The sequence below is a fragment of the Homo sapiens genome, chromosome 10 (assembly GCF_000001405.40).
Source record: "Homo sapiens chromosome 10, GRCh38.p14 Primary Assembly".
NCBI classification, from domain to species: Eukaryota; Metazoa; Chordata; class Mammalia; order Primates; family Hominidae; genus Homo; species Homo sapiens.
The window spans coordinates 132310089-132326127 of record NC_000010.11 but is presented as its reverse complement, the minus strand read 5'-3'; the positions used below and the strand labels follow the sequence as shown (position 1 = coordinate 132326127).

The 16039-nt window shown below is 46.7% G+C and overlaps 1 protein-coding gene across 7 annotated transcripts in view, besides 2 other annotated features; it reads left to right on the top strand.

Moving 5' to 3' along the window:
* Window positions 1-16039, top strand: part of STK32C (serine/threonine kinase 32C) — a 124754-nt gene that overhangs the window by 6108 nt on the left and 102607 nt on the right. Inside the window, exon 2 of one of the 7 annotated variants that reach the window (NM_001318881.2) lies at window positions 1755-2358. The exons of the other annotated variants lie outside the window; for them this stretch is intronic. Coding sequence (NP_001305810.1) covers window positions 1755-1894 — 140 coding nt within the window. The 3' untranslated portion in view covers window positions 1895-2358. Of the gene's footprint in view, window positions 1-1754; window positions 2359-16039 lie in introns of those variants that run through there. 7 annotated transcript variants of the gene reach the window in all.
* Window positions 3267-3356: an enhancer, noted in NCBI's record as "active region_4223". NCBI's record gives its function as "activates an Ori minimal core promoter by ATAC-STARR-seq in GM12878 lymphoblastoid cells {active_cell/tissue: GM12878}" and the evidence as "EXISTENCE:reporter gene assay evidence [ECO:0000049][PMID:35858748]".
* Window positions 14429-14723: an enhancer, noted in NCBI's record as "tiled region #5064; K562 Activating DNase matched - State 8:EnhW, and HepG2 Activating DNase unmatched - State 4:PromP". NCBI's record gives its function as "activates a minimal TATA promoter and a strong SV40 promoter by Sharpr-MPRA in K562 cells, with weaker activation in HepG2 cells {active_cell/tissue: HepG2 | K562}" and the evidence as "EXISTENCE:reporter gene assay evidence [ECO:0000049][PMID:27701403]".

The following is a 16039-nucleotide window of genomic DNA, read 5'->3' as shown; positions in this document are numbered from 1 at the left end:
TCCAGGCCTCCCCGATCCTGAAGAGATGAACTGATAGTCTAGCACCCTTTGAAGGTCTACATAGGAAACCATGTTAGTCCATTTTCACGCTGCTGATAAAGACATACCGGCCAGCGTGGTGGCTCATGCCTGTAATCCCAGCACTTTGGGAAGCCAAGGCGGGCAGGTCACGAGGTCAGGAGATCGATAACATCCTGGCTAACACGGTGAAACCCCGTCTCTACTAAAAATACAAAAAATTAGCTGGGCGTGGTTGCAGACTCCGATAGTCCCAGCTACTCTGGAGGCTGAGTCAGGAGAATGGCATGAACCCGGGAGGCGGAGCTTGCAGTGAGCCGAGATCGCGCCACTGCACCCCAGCCTGGGCAACAGAGCAAGACTGTCTTAAAAAAAAAAAAAAAAAGACATACCAAAGACTGGGCGATTTACAAAAGAAAGAGGTTTCATTGGACTTAAGTTCCACCTGGCTGGGGAAGCCTCACAATCATGGCGGAAGGCAAGGAGGAGCAAGTTGCGTCTTACCCGGATGGCAGCAGGCAAGAACTTGTGCAGGGAACTCCCCCTTTTTTTTTTTTAAGACGGACTCTTGCTCTGTCACCCAGGCTGGAGTGCAGTGGTGCGATCTCGGCTCACTGGAAGCTCCGCCTCCTGGGTTCACGCCATTCTCCTGCCTCAGCCTCCCGAGTAGCTGGGACTACAGGCACCCGCCACCACGCCTGGCTAATTTTTTGTATTTTTTAGTAGAGATGGGGTTTCACTGTGTTAGCCAGGACGGTCTTGATCTCCTGACCTTGTGATCCACCCGTCTTGGCTTCTCAAAGTGCTGGGATTACAGGTGTGAGCCACCGCGCCCGGCCGGGGAACTCCTCTTTCTAAAACCATCAGATCTCGTGAGACTTATTCACTATCATGAGAACAACATGGGAAAGACTTGTCCCCATGATTCAGTTACCTCCCACCGGGTCCCTCCCACAACATGTGGGAATTCAACATAAGATTTGGGTGGGGACACAGCCAAACCACATCAGAAACATCAGAATTTACCATCAATTGTTTCTAACAGTAGCCACCAATGAGACTTCATTTACCACTAAGAACTTGATCTCTACAACCCCTTATCTTAACCCAGACACTCCTTCCTGTTGATTGATTCCAGGTCTTTAGATAATAATTCTTTCAACCAATTGTCAATCAGAAAATCTTTGAGTCCACCTATGACCTGTAAGGTCACTCTCCTGCATCTCTCCCCATCCCACTTTCAGTTGTCCTTCCTTTCTAGACCAAACCAATGTATACCTCACAGGCATTGATTGATGTCTTATGTTCCCCTAAAATGTATAAAACCATCTTGCAACCCAACCACCTTGGGCACATCTCAGGATCTCTTGAGACTGCCTTGGGCCATGGTCACTCATATTTAGCTCAGAAATAAACCTCTTTAAGTATTTGACAGAGCTTGACTCTTTTTGTCAACAACATCAAAAGAAAGGCAGTCTTTTTTTAAAATGTAAAATATACTTTATAGAAAGTTGAATGTAAGGACAATACACATTTCTACGTAAGTTTACAGATTTCAAAATGGCCTAAAATTGTTTTTTGGAAGATGTTCAAAATGCCCCTGGCAGCTGATTCCATTTCTGCTCTGCTGTGCCTGCTAAACCAATCATCATACAATGTGACAACTGAAATACATTGCTCTTCCTTGAAAAGAGTTCAGACTGCAAAGTGAAGATGACCTCTGTTTCCTCATATAGGTCTTCTGAGAGCACACCCCAGGACTGGGATTTTGCCAGGAAGATGTGGAATGGTGTGGAAAGACAAGAAGCTGCAGCCTTCAGGCTGCCATGAAAAAGCTGGGGGTGTGTTCTGTGGCCCATCAAGAGGGGGTGTGTAATGAATTGTTAATGAATTTCTCAGATGAGCCAAAGTGGTGAACTTGTCTCAGTACCCAGGGAGACTCAGACTCATCCCCAGCTCTTGGCCTCCATTTTCCCAGCTGCTGTGATTGGAGTGGGTCCCTGGAATTCATATGCTGGAAATTTGGTCCAGGTGTGGGTGTGTTGGGAGGTGGGGTTTAAGGTGTGGTTAGGCCATTAAGAGATTAATGCTGCTCTTTAGGGACTGGGCTAATTCTTGAGGGAGTGAGTGGCTTCCCGCTCTCTCCGGACAGCATTAACTGCCACAGGTTGGGTTATTATAACATGAGGCCACCCCTCATGTTTTGTCCCACTCCCCCTTCCACTTCGCTTCTGTGTCATGATGCAGGACAAAAGCACCACCAGAAACTGTTGCCGTTCTCTTGGGCTTCCCAGCCTTCAAAACTGAGTCAAGTAAACATCTTTCCTGTATAAATCATAACCCAGCCTCAGGTATTCTTTGTAGCAACAGAAAATGGACCAAGACACTGGCCTTGAGACTTGGGTGCAAAATGGTTTAGCTCCATCCATCACCCCATCCCAAGCCAATCTCATGGCCTGTGAGCCTCCAATCCCCATGCACCCCACCTTCTATCTTAAATTCTTTAACCTGAATTCATGTACCTAACATAGACACAGGTTTTGGGGATTCAGACATGGACGTCTCTGAGGGCCATTATTCTGTCTGCCACAATTAGATCAGCACATCTCTTGGAAAGGAACTGTCTTTATTGGAGGAAATACATTGACGAGGTGCCAGGGTGGGCAACAGTCTGTGAACATTGGTATTGGCCTAGGCCAGTGAGAACGCTAGGGATGGAGTCTTAAGCCAGCCAGTGATGGCACTATTCAGTCCATACAGTTAAGAGATATCAAGGATGGGTGACCAGGAAGCCAAGGGCAAGCACCTCAGTAACAATCATGATTCCTGGCCCATTTCCAGACTTGAGCCAGGTTTTGGACCCAGAATGCACTGTGCAAGGAGAAATTGATTTGGTGGAAAATTACATGGTAAGCCTATTGTAAGGGGCAGGAAGAATTCCCAAGAGGTTCAACAAAAACTAAGCAACTGAAAACGTCATTATTTCAGTAAGGACAAGCAGTAGGAAGGGAAATAATCATAGTACACAGAATGAAAGGGTGGTGAGTCCGACGCAGGGCAGCACTTAGACCAGGGAAGAGACATCCTCCTTCCCTGGGCTTTGCATTTTAGAGGGCCTGCATTTCACAGACACAGAACCAGCTATCTGTTCTTTTTGGTTTCGTAAGAACACTCTGGGATTGAGTAAGCGATCAAATGTGTTCAGGAGAGGGACGCACGAACCAAACTGGTCCCTGGGCCAGAGAGAATGGGGCTGAGACATGCACATGTTTGTGGAGAGAGCAGAGAACCACGACCTCCACCCCAGGACACTGGAGAAAGTACAGAGTGGCCACTGCAGATGACCCCAAATGGGTGTCAGGCAGGAGGGCTTCCCAGATCAGGGTGCCTCCTCCCCCTGCTGGGTGGTATGGTCCTGGGAAGGGCTTAGTAATTCCAGGGCTTCTAAGATGCTGGCAACATTTTACTTCCTGTGCTGGTAGTTACACTGGCGTGAAATTTGGTTGAGATGCATGCCCATTACCTGTGTAGTTTCCCACAGGTATGCTATGCGCCAGTGCAAGAGTTTATACACATCCTTAGGAGAAAATGTCAGTGAATTTTACTTTGTTCTTAGGCTAAGAAAGGATTTTTAAACAAGATATAAAAACACCATAAAAATAAATATTGGTAAATTCACTATACTAGAAATAATCCTGTTCATCAGAAAGATACCATAAAGAAAATTAAGTCAGCCAAAAACTGAGAGAAGATACTGGCGACTCTTACATCCAATGAAGATTAGTATCCAGACTATAATCCGATAAAGATAGTATGCAGCATTCCTATGATTCAATAGGGAAAAGATAGAGATACATTTATAGTAATAGGTAAAAAGATATAAACCAATAGCTCACAGTAGAGGAGAAATAAATGGCCAATAAAAATATAAAAGATGCTTCACTTTACTAGCTGTCAGAGAAATGCAATTTGATCCAAGATTGTATTTCAGATGAGTGAGTCTTACACTCACTCAACTGGCACCAGCAAAGCAGCTGCCTTGTGTTGGTGAGCTGGTGAAGCCCACGGAACCCGCTGCTGTGAGAGGGTGTTCGTCAATATCTTGGGAGCATCTGGGGACTCCTGTGCAGGGTTGAATTCTCAAGTGCAACAGCCCCACAATTCCCCCTTTGGACTCCAGTAGAGAAGCAGATGGAGGCGTGCACCAGGACACAGGTGCCAAAATGTGCCCCGCGGGATCATGCATTTAAGCAAAAGCACTGGAAAGGCCAGGACGGGAGAAAGCACAAATACGTCACACTGAAGCCAGACAAGGAAGCATCTTACAGCCTCAAAATGAATGACCAACCCTCCGCCTCCCAGGTTCAAGCGATTCTCCTGCCTCAGCAGTAGCTGGGATTACAGGTGCCTGCCACCACACCCGGCTAATTTTTTGTATTTTTAGTAGAGACAGGGTTTCACTATGTTGGCCAGGCTGGTCTCGAACTCCTGAACTCCAGCCATCCACCCACCTTGGCCTCCCAAAGTGCTGGGATTATAGGCATGAACGACCATGCCCGGCCCTTAGATGGAAATTTTAAAGAGGTTACAGACCAGAGGGTGAATGAAGTGGCTCTGGGACTAGTTTGGGGACCCTCTGGGGAGCTGGCCTTGGGTCATCTTAGACATTGTCCCAGCAGGCTATGTGGAGGGTGACGTGACTCCAGTTGGCTAGTCTCAACAGAATTCCACATAACAAACCATCCCAAAATTAGTACCATGAACGCCAAGCATTTACCTCTTACTCTGCAGGTGGGCTGGGCTTGGCTGGGCTTGGCTGGGCTTGGTCAGTCTTGGCTCTGGGCCACAGATGCAGCTTGCATCTATTCTATGGGTGTCTCATTCTTCTGTGACAAGCAGGTCACCATGTGCCTCCCATGAACATGCAAAGGTGCAAGACGGTAGCTGTGGGAGGACATCCAGGGCCCACTTCGCTGGCATCCCCCCAACATCCCTTTGACCAGTCAGGCCTCACCGTGTTCCATCCCACTCTCCAGTTGGGCCTCTCTGCTCCCTCCCACCTGACACCCCATTGGCCAAACAAACCACACGGCAAGCCAGTCCCAGGATGGTGAGGTGCACTGCACCCACCCCAAGGCCATGGCAGGGTATGGAGATGTCATTTATTATAAGATGGACAGATAAGCTGGACCAATAATTTACAGATTCCAGCAGAGGGTGAGGACACCCAGATGCGCCAGGACTGTAGGAAATCACAATGATGGCAACGCCTTGGCCTTCCTGGGGACAGGGAGCCCTATTTCCAAATATAGTCACATTCTGAGGAGCCGGGGGTTATAACATCAAGTCTGCCCTTGACCTCACACAAGCCAGGCTCCTCCAGGCCCTCTGCTCCACCAGGCCTCAACGTGGCGCACAAAGGATTGAACGGACGCCAGCATCATTTGTAAGAACTCCAGGCCGCATCCCAAGGGTGACCTAGCCCCCCAAATGCCTGCCTGAGAAAACTTAAGCTGCCCAAAGGATCTCTTCTTGGCTCCAGCAACCCGAGAACAGGGCCCCGTGCCCCAGCCTCTGCGGGGGTGGGACCTCACTTCCATAACCGTGGCCAACAAACCTATTATAGACGGGTCTCCTGTGGACCCACCCTCTTCCCACTCTTAAGTTTTCACTTCCCCAGCTCTCCTGAGCCCCAGCGGACCCCCACCCCTCACTGTCCCTTTAAAACCCACAGTCACCGCCGTGCAGATTCAAGCTGAGTCAGGTCACGCTAGACTCTTCCCCATTGCAACAGTTATGACTAATCACAGTCTGCCCTCACCACTCTGGCAATGGGCTGTGTTTATCTTTAACCAGCATGAAAGTGGAGGACACATTCAGCCATAGCACCCATCCTGCACACCCCCCACCATCCCCTACCTGCCCCCTCCCCAGCCTGGATTGTGGGATGTTCCTGAATTTTTCTCTTGTTTTAGAATTTTATCATTCACACGCGCAATGTGCCATCTAGTTTTTCTTGGCTTTATAAACCTCATAAAAATGTGCCATACTGTATGAGGTCTCCTGTAACTTTTTTTTTTTTCTGGAAACAGCTGTTTCTAAGACTTTTTCTCATTGTTGCTTGAACCTGGGAGGCGGAGGTTGCAGTGAGCCGAGATCGTGCCATTATACTCCACCCTGGGAGAAAGTGTGAGACTCCATCTCAAAAAAAAAAAAATCCATCTAAGGTGCAATAGATGAGTTTTATATTATGTAAATTATGCCTCAATAGAGATGACAAAAGGAAGGGGAAAAAAAAACCCTTGGCTACAAGCCATTGTGAAGACACAATACCACAATTTTTATTCAATTTACAGTAAATTTATACCATCCCCACACTCCCACTTTAGGATGAGTACCCTCAGCCCCTGCATTCCCACAGCTGTCTGCAGTCCATTCCGCTCTCACCCCAGCCCTAGGGAAGCACTGACTCTACACATTTGCCTGGACAATGGGGTGCACATTTTAGGTAAATGGAGTCAGACAGTATGTCGTCTTTTCATCTGGTTTTATGTAGAATAATGATTTTGAGGTCCATCCGTGTAGTAGAAGGCATCAGTATTTCATTCCTTTTTATTGCTGAATAATATTCTGTTGAATGGATATACTATTTGTTTATCTGTTCACCAGATGATGGACATTTGGACTATCTACAGTTTGGGGCTATGAAATCATGCTGCTATGAATATTCATGCACCTATCTTTAAGTCATATATTTTATTTTTCTTGGCTAGATTCCTGGTAGTGAAATTACTGGGTCATATGGTAAGATTATGCTTAAATTTAAAATAAATGAACTGTTTTCCAGTGTAGCTGTATCATGACTGGGCGTGGTGGCTCACGCCTGTAATCCCAGCACTTTGGGAGGCCGAGGTGGGCGGATCACCTGAAGTCAGGATTTCGAGACCAGCCTGGCCAACATGGTGAAACCCCACCTCTACTAAAAATACAAAAACTAGCCGAGTGTGATGATGAGCGCCTGTAATCCCAGCTACTTGGGAGGCTGAGGCAGGAGAATTGCTTTAACCCAGGACGTGGAGGTTGCAGTGAGCCAAGATCACGCCACTGCACTCCAGCCTGGGCGACAAGAGAGAAACTCCATCTCAAAACAAAACAAAAAACAAAGTAGCTGCATCACTTTAACAAAATATGGACTCCAGTTCTGCCACATCCAACCCTTGGTATTGTCTGTTTTTTTTTTTTAATTATGGCAATCCTAGTAAGTGTGTAGTTGTATCTCATGGAGGTTTAAATTTTTACTTGCTTCTTCAGAGGTAGCAACAGTTGGCAGGAAGAAGAAAAAATAAACTAAAAGCAATTTTAAAAATTTTATTTGCCCAGTGACTCATAATGTTTATCACATTTTACATGTGTATCAGCCATGTAGCCATTTGTATGTCTTATTTGGTGAAATGTTTTTTCTTTTCTTTTCTTTTCCTTTTTTTTTTTGTTTTTTGAGGCAAGGTCTCACTCTGTTGCCCAGGCTAGAGTGCAGTGGCGCAATCTCAGCTCACTGCAACCTCCGCCTCCCAGGTTCAAGTAATTCCCCTGCCTCAGCCTCCTAAGTAGCTGGGATTACAGGTGCGCACCACCATGCCTGGCTAATTTTTGTATTTTTAGTAGAGACAGGTTTTCCTATGTTGGCTGGGCTGGTCTCGAACTCCTGACCTCAAGTGATCTGCCCGCCTCGGCCTCCCAAGGTGCTGGGATTACAAGCGTGAGCCACCGTGCCTGGTTTTCCAAGTCTTTTACCTACGTTTTTATTAGATTGTTTTCTTTCTCTCTCTCTCTCTCTTTTTTTTTGAGACATAGTCTCCTTCTGTCGCCCAGGCTGGAGTGCAGTGGCGCGATCTTGGCTCACTGCAACCTCCACCTCCCGGGTTAAAGTGATTCTCCTGCCTCAGCATCCCAAGTAGCTGGGACTACAGGCGCCTGCCACCACTCCCGGCTAATTTTTGTATTTTAAGTAGAGACCAGGTTTCACCATATTGGCCAGGCTGGTCTGGAACTCCTGACCTTGTGATCCACCCTCCTTGGCCTCCCAAAGTGCTGAGATTACAGGTGTGAGCCACTGTGCCCAGACTTTTTTTTTTTTTTTTTTTTGAGACAGAGTCTCACAGGCTGGAGTGCCTTGGTGTGATCTCGGTTCACTGCAACCTTTGCCTCCTGGGTTCAAGCGATTCTCCTGCCTCAGCCCCCCGAGTAGCTGGGATTACAGGCACACACCACCATGCCCGGCTAATTTTTGTATTTTTAGCAGAGACGGGGTTTTACCATGTTGGCCAGGATGGTCTTGATCTCTTGACCTTGTGATCTGCCTGCCTTGGCCTCATTTTTATTTTTTTAGACAGTGTCTCACTCTGTCATCCAAACTGGAGTGCACTGGTGCAATCCTGACTCACTGTAGCCTTGACCTCCTGGGCTCAGGCGATCCTCTAACCTCAGCCTCCCAAACTACAGGCACATGCCACCACACCATGTGAATTTTTAAAAATTTTTGTAGAGATGTCATTATGTTGCCAGGCTGGTCTTGAACGCTTGAGTTCAAGAAATCTTCCCGGCCAAGTGTCCTATATGTTCTGGGTACAAGTCCTACACCAGAAAGATGACTTCCAACCTTTCCCCTTGTCTGTTTTCTTAATTGTGTATTTTTGAGTGCCAAAGTTTTTAACTTTAGTGAAGACCAATGAATGAATTTTATGCCTCATTCATGCTTTTGGTGTCACATGTAATAACTCTTGGCCTAACTAGAGGTCATAGAGATTTTCCCCTGTGTTTTCTTCTAGAAATTTTATAGTGTTAGCTCCTACATTTAGGCCTCTGATTCAGTTTGAGTTATTTATGTAAGGGTCTAGGTTTATTGTTCTCATATAAATTTTCAATTGTCTCAGTACTTTCAGTTTTCTTTGGGAAGGAGTTTTAACTTACAAATTCAGTTTCTCTTGTAGATAAATTATATTTTTCAAATAGTTTCTCCATTTTATCTGAGTTACAAATATAATGTACTGGTACTACATTTTCACAACATGCCTTTCTTCATCTTTTAAGTATCTTTTTTTTTTTTTTTTTTGAGATGGAGTCTCACTCTGTCCCAGGCTGGAGTGCAGTGGCATGATCTTGACTCACTGCAACCTCTGCCTCCCAGCCCAGGTTCAAGTGATTCTCCTAATTTTTGTAGTTTTAGAGTCGGGGTTTCATCATGTTGGCCAAGATGGTCTCAATCTCTTGACCTTGTGATCCACCAGCCTTTGCCTCCCAAATTGCTGGGATTACAGGCATAAGCCACCGCGCCTGGACTCTTTTAAGTATCTTTAGATTCTAGAATGATAGCCTTTTCTTCATTTCTAATATTCTAATTCCTCTTTCTCCTTATTCTGTAATCCTGGGGCTTTATACATTTTAATGACTTTTTAAAGGATCACTGATTTGCTTTGCTGATTTTCCTGATCTTTTAGACAGGATCTCACTCTGTTGCCCAAGCTGGAGTGCAGTGGTACGACCATGGTTCACTGTAGCCTCAACCTCCCAGTCTCAAGGGATCCTCCCGCCTTAGCCTCCCGAGTAGCAGGGACTACAGGTGCATGCCACCATGCCTGGCTAATTTTTTTATCCTTATTTTTTGTAGAGACTGGGTCTCACTATGTTGCCTAGGCTGGTCGTAGACTTCTGGGCTCAAGCAATCCTCCCACCTCAGCCTCCTAAAGTGCTCGGGTGACAAGTATGAGTCACCGTGCCTGGCCTTATTTTTTTAACTTTTTATAGCTCATCTTTACTCTCTTCTCCCATGAACAAAACTTCCCATCTTTGCTACATTGGCTTATAGTAGTGATTTTTAAGGTATGTAATTTATTTTTTAAATTTTTTTTTACAATTTATTTTCTTTTTAATTGGCAAATAAAAATGATATATACTTATGGCATGCAACAAGATGTTTCAGAATATGTATACATTGTGGAATGGTTTTTTTAGCTTCTTAAGACAGAACTTAGAAAACTGATTTTTAACATCTCTTATTTTTCTCATACAGGCATTTAAAACTAGCTGCATCTCATACATTTTATTAGTTTGGGTTTTATAATCATTCCATTTGAATATTTTTAAATTTCCTTGTGATTCATTATTTGATAATGGATTATTGTTTAATTTCCAAATGTTGGACTCTCTTTTATAATTGATGCTTAATTTCATTGTGTTCAGATAACACATTATATATTATTTCAATCCTTTGAGATTTATTGAAAATTTTCATTTTGTTTCAGGATATGACATCCTATTTAATATTTCTTGCACACTTGAAAATAATGTGTAATATGCAGTTATTGGTTATTGTGTTCTATAGATGTCGATCAGGTCAACTTGCTTAAGAGTGTTGCCCAAACTTCTATATCCTTAGTAATTGCGTATGTGTGTACCTGTTCTAGCAATTCCTGAGATGGAAGTGTTAAGCTCTACTACTATGACTGTGCGTTTGTCTATTTTTCTCTCCGGTTGTCAAGTTTTGCTTTATATAGTTTGAAGTCTTCTTATTAGGCGCATACATATTTGGGATTGTTAGGTATTCTTTTTTTGTGCTATCTATTTATTTATTTTACTTTTAAGTTCTGGGATACATGTGTAGAATGTGCAGGTTTGTTACATAGCTATACATGTGCCATGCTGGTTTGCTGCACCTATCAACCCATCATCTAGGTTTTAAGCCCCACATGCATTAGGTATTTGTCCTAATGCTGTCCCTCCCCTTGCCCCCAAACCCCCAGCAGGCCTTAGTGTGTGATGTTCCCCTCCCTGTGTCCATGTGTTCTCATTGTTCAGCTTCCACTTATGAATGAGAACATGTGGTGTTTGGTTTTCTGTTCCTGTGTTAGTTTGCTGAGAATGATGGATTCCAGCTTCATCCATGTCCCTGCAAAGGACATGAACTTATTCTTTTTTTTTTGAGATGGAATTTCGCTCTTGTTGCCCAGGCTGGAATGCAATGGTGCAATCTCTGCTCACCGCAACTTCCGCCTCTTAGGTTCGAATGATTCTCCTGTCTCAGCCTCCCAAGTAGCTGGGATTACAGACATGCGCCACCACGCCTGGCTAATTTTGGATTTTTAGTAGAGATGGGGTTTCTCCGTGTTGGTCAGGCTGGTCTTGAACTCCTGAACTCAGGATCTGCCTGCCTCGGCCTCCCAAAGTGCTGGGATTACAGGCATGAGCCACTGCGCCTGGCCAAACTCAATCTTTTTTATGGCTGCATGTTAGGTATTCTTAAATAATTGATCCTTTTATCATTTGAAATGTTCCTTTTTATCTCTAATAATATTCTTTGTCTTGAAGTCTACGTTATCTGATATAAATATAGCTACATCACCTTTCTTATGATTATTATTTGCATGGTATATCTTTTTTCCATCTTTTTACTTTTAAATTCTTTTTTAGTGTTTAGGTTATAATTCATCTTTATATTTAAGATGCAGCTTTTAGAATCAGCATATACATATTAGGGTCTTGCATTTGTATCCAGTCTGATGGTCTCTATCTTCTAATTGAAGTGCGTAGTCCATTTACGTTTACTGTAATGATGAACTCTACCACTCTGCTCTTTATTTTCCTTGTGTCCCATGGGTTGTTTTCATCTTCTCCTGGTGATTTTAGTTACATTGTATCTCCTCTGTTGGCTCGTTAGCTGGGCCACTTTTTAAAGGCATTGCTGTGGATCACGATAGCCACCCTCAGTCTGTCACAGTCAAACCTGAGCTGTAAAACACCACTTCCAGGGAATGTCAGAAAAGCTCAGCAGTGTCATCATCTCTTTGCCCTTTGTAAGTTGTGCAGTTTTACATCTGCACATGCTATCAGGCAGAGTGTTATTAGTTCTGCTATGAGCGATGAATTGTCTTTCAACATGAAATTGATTTGCCCCTCCTTTATATAGATGCAGAAGGGCAGAGGGGCAGAGAAGGGCGGGGCCCAGGTAAGGTGGTGCATCGCGGTGCTGGCCGAGGGCTTATGGCTGGCTGAGTTCTGACAGAGGCTGCTGCTCCATGGATGCCCTGCTTGGCCAGGTAGGATGCCTTCACATGGGCAGGAGAGAGACTCTGCCTGCGAACTCTTGTGGGAAAGAGGAAGGAGAGGTGGCTTATCCTCCCAGCAGTGGTTTTCCATTGGCCAAAGTTCACTGCATGGGTCTTAAACAACCCCCATTTCAGCAGCCTTTCAGGAAGCCAGAGCTAGCACCTTCCACGGAGCTCATGAGGCCTCTTGACCTGGTCCTTGTCATCTCCTTAGCCTTCGTCTCTTGCCACTCCCTGCCTCAATCTCTCCAGCTTAACCAGCCTGGCCTTTCATTCATTCCTTTCTTCTAAAGCATCACATTCTTGCTCACCTCTTGGACGCTACCCATGTTCTGCCCGGAGGGCTGCTCTCCTGCTCCCCTTTGGCTGACGTCTGCCCATCTGTCAGGTGTCAGCTCTGCTGTGGGCTGCCTCGAGGGGGTGTCCCTCATGCTCTGTCAGGACTGGCATCCACTCCTGCTCTCGCAGCCCTCTGTGCATCCCCTCTTTGCCTGCTATCCACTGGGTTCCCGTCTCCCTCGCTGAGAGGGGTGCACGCTCCATCTGACCATTCACTATGTCAGCAGTGTCTGCTGCAGTGCCTAGCATGGAGCAGGTGCTTGGCAAATGTCTGTCGTGTGGCCCGTGTGGAAGGGTCCTTTTTAGCCTTAGAGGCTGCCTCTGTGTGGATGGTAAACAGCCACGGCGTTTAATGTTGCTCATCTCAAGGCCAGTGCTTGTTAGCTGCTGTAAGGGTAGAGTGTGTGACTTAACCGTCACTCGGCATGGCCTTAGGTCCTGTTTATAATTTGGTATCTTATTGCCACAAAGAGCCATTCCGTTTGTCTTATGGTCTCCAGCTTAACATTAAAGCTGGTTGGTTGTTGTGTCTAAACCGTAAAAGGGAGGGGGTATCAGGAGACCCGTCTGACCTCCCATCCCACCATCATAGCCAGGAACTCAGGTTTTTAATTTAATTTTATTTTATTTTTTGAGACAGAGTCTCGCTCTGTCGCCCAGGCTGGAGTGCAGTGGCGTGATCTCGGCTCACAGCAATCTCCACCTCACAGGTTCGGGTGATTCTCATGCCTCAGCTTCCTGAGTAGCTGGTATTACAGGCGTGTGCCACCACGCCTGGCTAAGTTTTGTATTTTTAGTAGAGGTAGAGTTTTGCCATGTTGGCCAGGCTGGTCTCGAACTCCTGACCTCAAGTGAGCCGCCCACCTCGGCCTCCCAAAGTGTTGGGACTACAGGCATGAGCCACTGCATCTGGCCTGGAACTCAGTTTTAAGGTTTTTCTGGAGTTTCCTTGGCCAAGAGCGGGTCTGTCCCATCGGTTGGGGGCTTATGGTTTTAATTTTAGTTTACGTAGTGCAGCATTGAGCCACCAAGAATTCTTGCCAGGCCTTGAAACCTCATGGAACTTGCCCTGCTGGATTTGAACTTACTTGGGACCGATGACTCTTTTTATTCCTTCTTATTTCTCCCTTTTGAAATGGGAATGTATATCTTATGCCTATCTCATCACTGTACCTTGGAAGCATATTTTCCAGTTTCACAGTTACACAGATAAAGGGGAATTTTGCCCAGAATGGATTGAACTGAGGTCTCACCCATGCCTGATTTAGATAATGAGTCTTGGACATCATTTCTGATTGTCTAAATCAGGCATGATTTAGACAATGAGTCTTGGAGACTTTCGAGCTGAAAATATTTAGACGAGAGGCTGGGTGCAGTGGCTCATACCTGTAATCCCAGCACTTTAGGAGGCTGAGTGGGGTGGATTTCTTGAGCCCCAAAGTTTGAGATCAGCCTAGGCCACAGTGTGAAATCCTTGTCTCTACCAAAAGCACAAAAAATCAGCCAGGGGTGGGGTCATGGATCTATGGTCCGAGCTACTCAGGAGCCTGAGATGGGAGGATCGCTTGAGCCTGGGAGGTCGAGGCTGCAGTGAGCCATGATAGCACCACTGCACTCCAGTCTGGGCAACACAGTGAGACTCTGTCTCAAAAAAAATCTTGAGCTGGGATTTTGGACTTAGAGTTGCTGCTGTAATGGTTGGGACTTTGGGGCTGTAGGGTGTGGTGAATCCATGCTGCCCATGGATGTGGTGGGTTAAATGGTGGCCTTTTGCCACCAAAGGACATGTCCGTGCCGGCCCTGTGAATGTGACCTTATCTGGAAAGAGGATCTTTGCAGATGTAACTAAGTTAAGGATCTCAAGATGATATCATCCTGGAGTAGGGTGGGCCCTAAGTCCAATGACAAGTGTCCTTATAGAGGAAGAAAAGGGCGGAGTAGACAGATGAAAAGGCAACGTGATGATGGTGGCAGCAGGGGCTGGGGTTGTGGGTCCTTAAGCAGAGCTGAGCGGTGAACTCATGCTCGGCCCCGGCGCACTGCAGTGGGGGCGAGGGCTCCTTCCTAGTGGCTGCAGCCCGTCCTGCATGTTCTCCGTCGCTGTGCTCCTTCCTGAGTCACCAGGTGGCCACATGACCTTTAAAATCAATACTGTCACCATAGCAACCAAGTGTCCCCACACGTGGGCTCCAAGGCCCTGGCCTTCCAAGAATCCTCAGTCCCAGGCCCCGCCAGGGCTGAATCTGAGGGCGCCACGGCCATCTGTCTTCCATTTCCCAGGAGGGAGGCTGTCCGTGGATTCTCCACATAGGTGGACACCAGCATCGGAGTCCCATGGGAGCCCATTTCCTGTTTTGGGGGTCAGTTCTGAGATGTGTTTTCCAGCAGGAAACAGCACACACGAATCGTGTGATCTGAGGAGATTTAATAAAAGGACTCTTAACAAAGGCGTGGGCAGAGCATGTGTTAATTTCATAATGATGACAGAAGATGAAGCACACATCTCGGTGTGACTGAGCTGTGTGCCAATTATGTGGCAACGGAGGACCCATGTCCAAGGCATGTCCCTCAGGAGGCGTGGCTTTATGGACGAATTATGAACAAATGCACATGAAGCCTGGTGTCAGGGACTGCACCTTGTCCCCCAAACCACCCCCAGCCCTTCAGCACATGCCACGGCCACTCACTTGCTGTCCTGCAGCATGGACCCTCCTGTCCTCCCGCACAAGCCGGTTTCTACCTTAGGGCCAGCTCCTGCTGTTGGAACCCGGACACCTGGCCTCCCTTGGGCTACTCGTTCATGCTCCGGCCTCAGCATCAAGGTCACCTGCTCAGAGACTCATGCTGGACTACCCAAGCTAAAGTGGTCCCACGATCATGCACGTGCTGCCCAGCCATGTGCCTTCCTGTGTGCTCCTGCGTGCTAGACGTCAGTGCACTGAATGCATTTATCTGTCACATTGTCACTTGGTCTCCTGTCATTGGAAGGGGCAGACACCATCGCTGCCCTAATGAAGTTGACGTTCCCGGGCAGCATGGGCACACAGGGGAACTCAGGAATTCTCTACTGGCCTCACTGCCCCTTCCCATCCACAGCTGACTCTGTCCCAGCCTCAGTCCCTCCCAGCATCCCCCTAGAACTTCAGAGCTACCTCCCATGAGGCACCAGGGGTTGGCATCCTCTTGGGGACAGCAGTTCCTGACCCCTCCTGTCTCATGCCTACACTGTGCACCTCTTAACGCTCAGTCTTGTGTTTGCCTGGACCCTGAGCCGTGGCTGGACAGTACAAGAGTTGCACCTGGACAGTACAAGAGTTGTGCCCTGAGCCCACAGGCCCCTCCAGGGCTGATCTGCACTGGCCAAATCTTAGGACCCGGCATTCTTTTGGGAGCTGCTGTTTCCCTACAGATCCTTCCTGTTTCCTGACTGAGAGGCAGGTGCCTGGCTTGGTGTTTGAGGCTCACAGCAAGGGTGAGGTTGGAGGGTCTCCTAGTTAAGTGTGCAGATGTCCCCATGAACCCCTCTGCCCCCCTGCACTCTTGTCTTCTGCAGGACTTGGTATCCCTAGGTCAAGAGCCCCTTT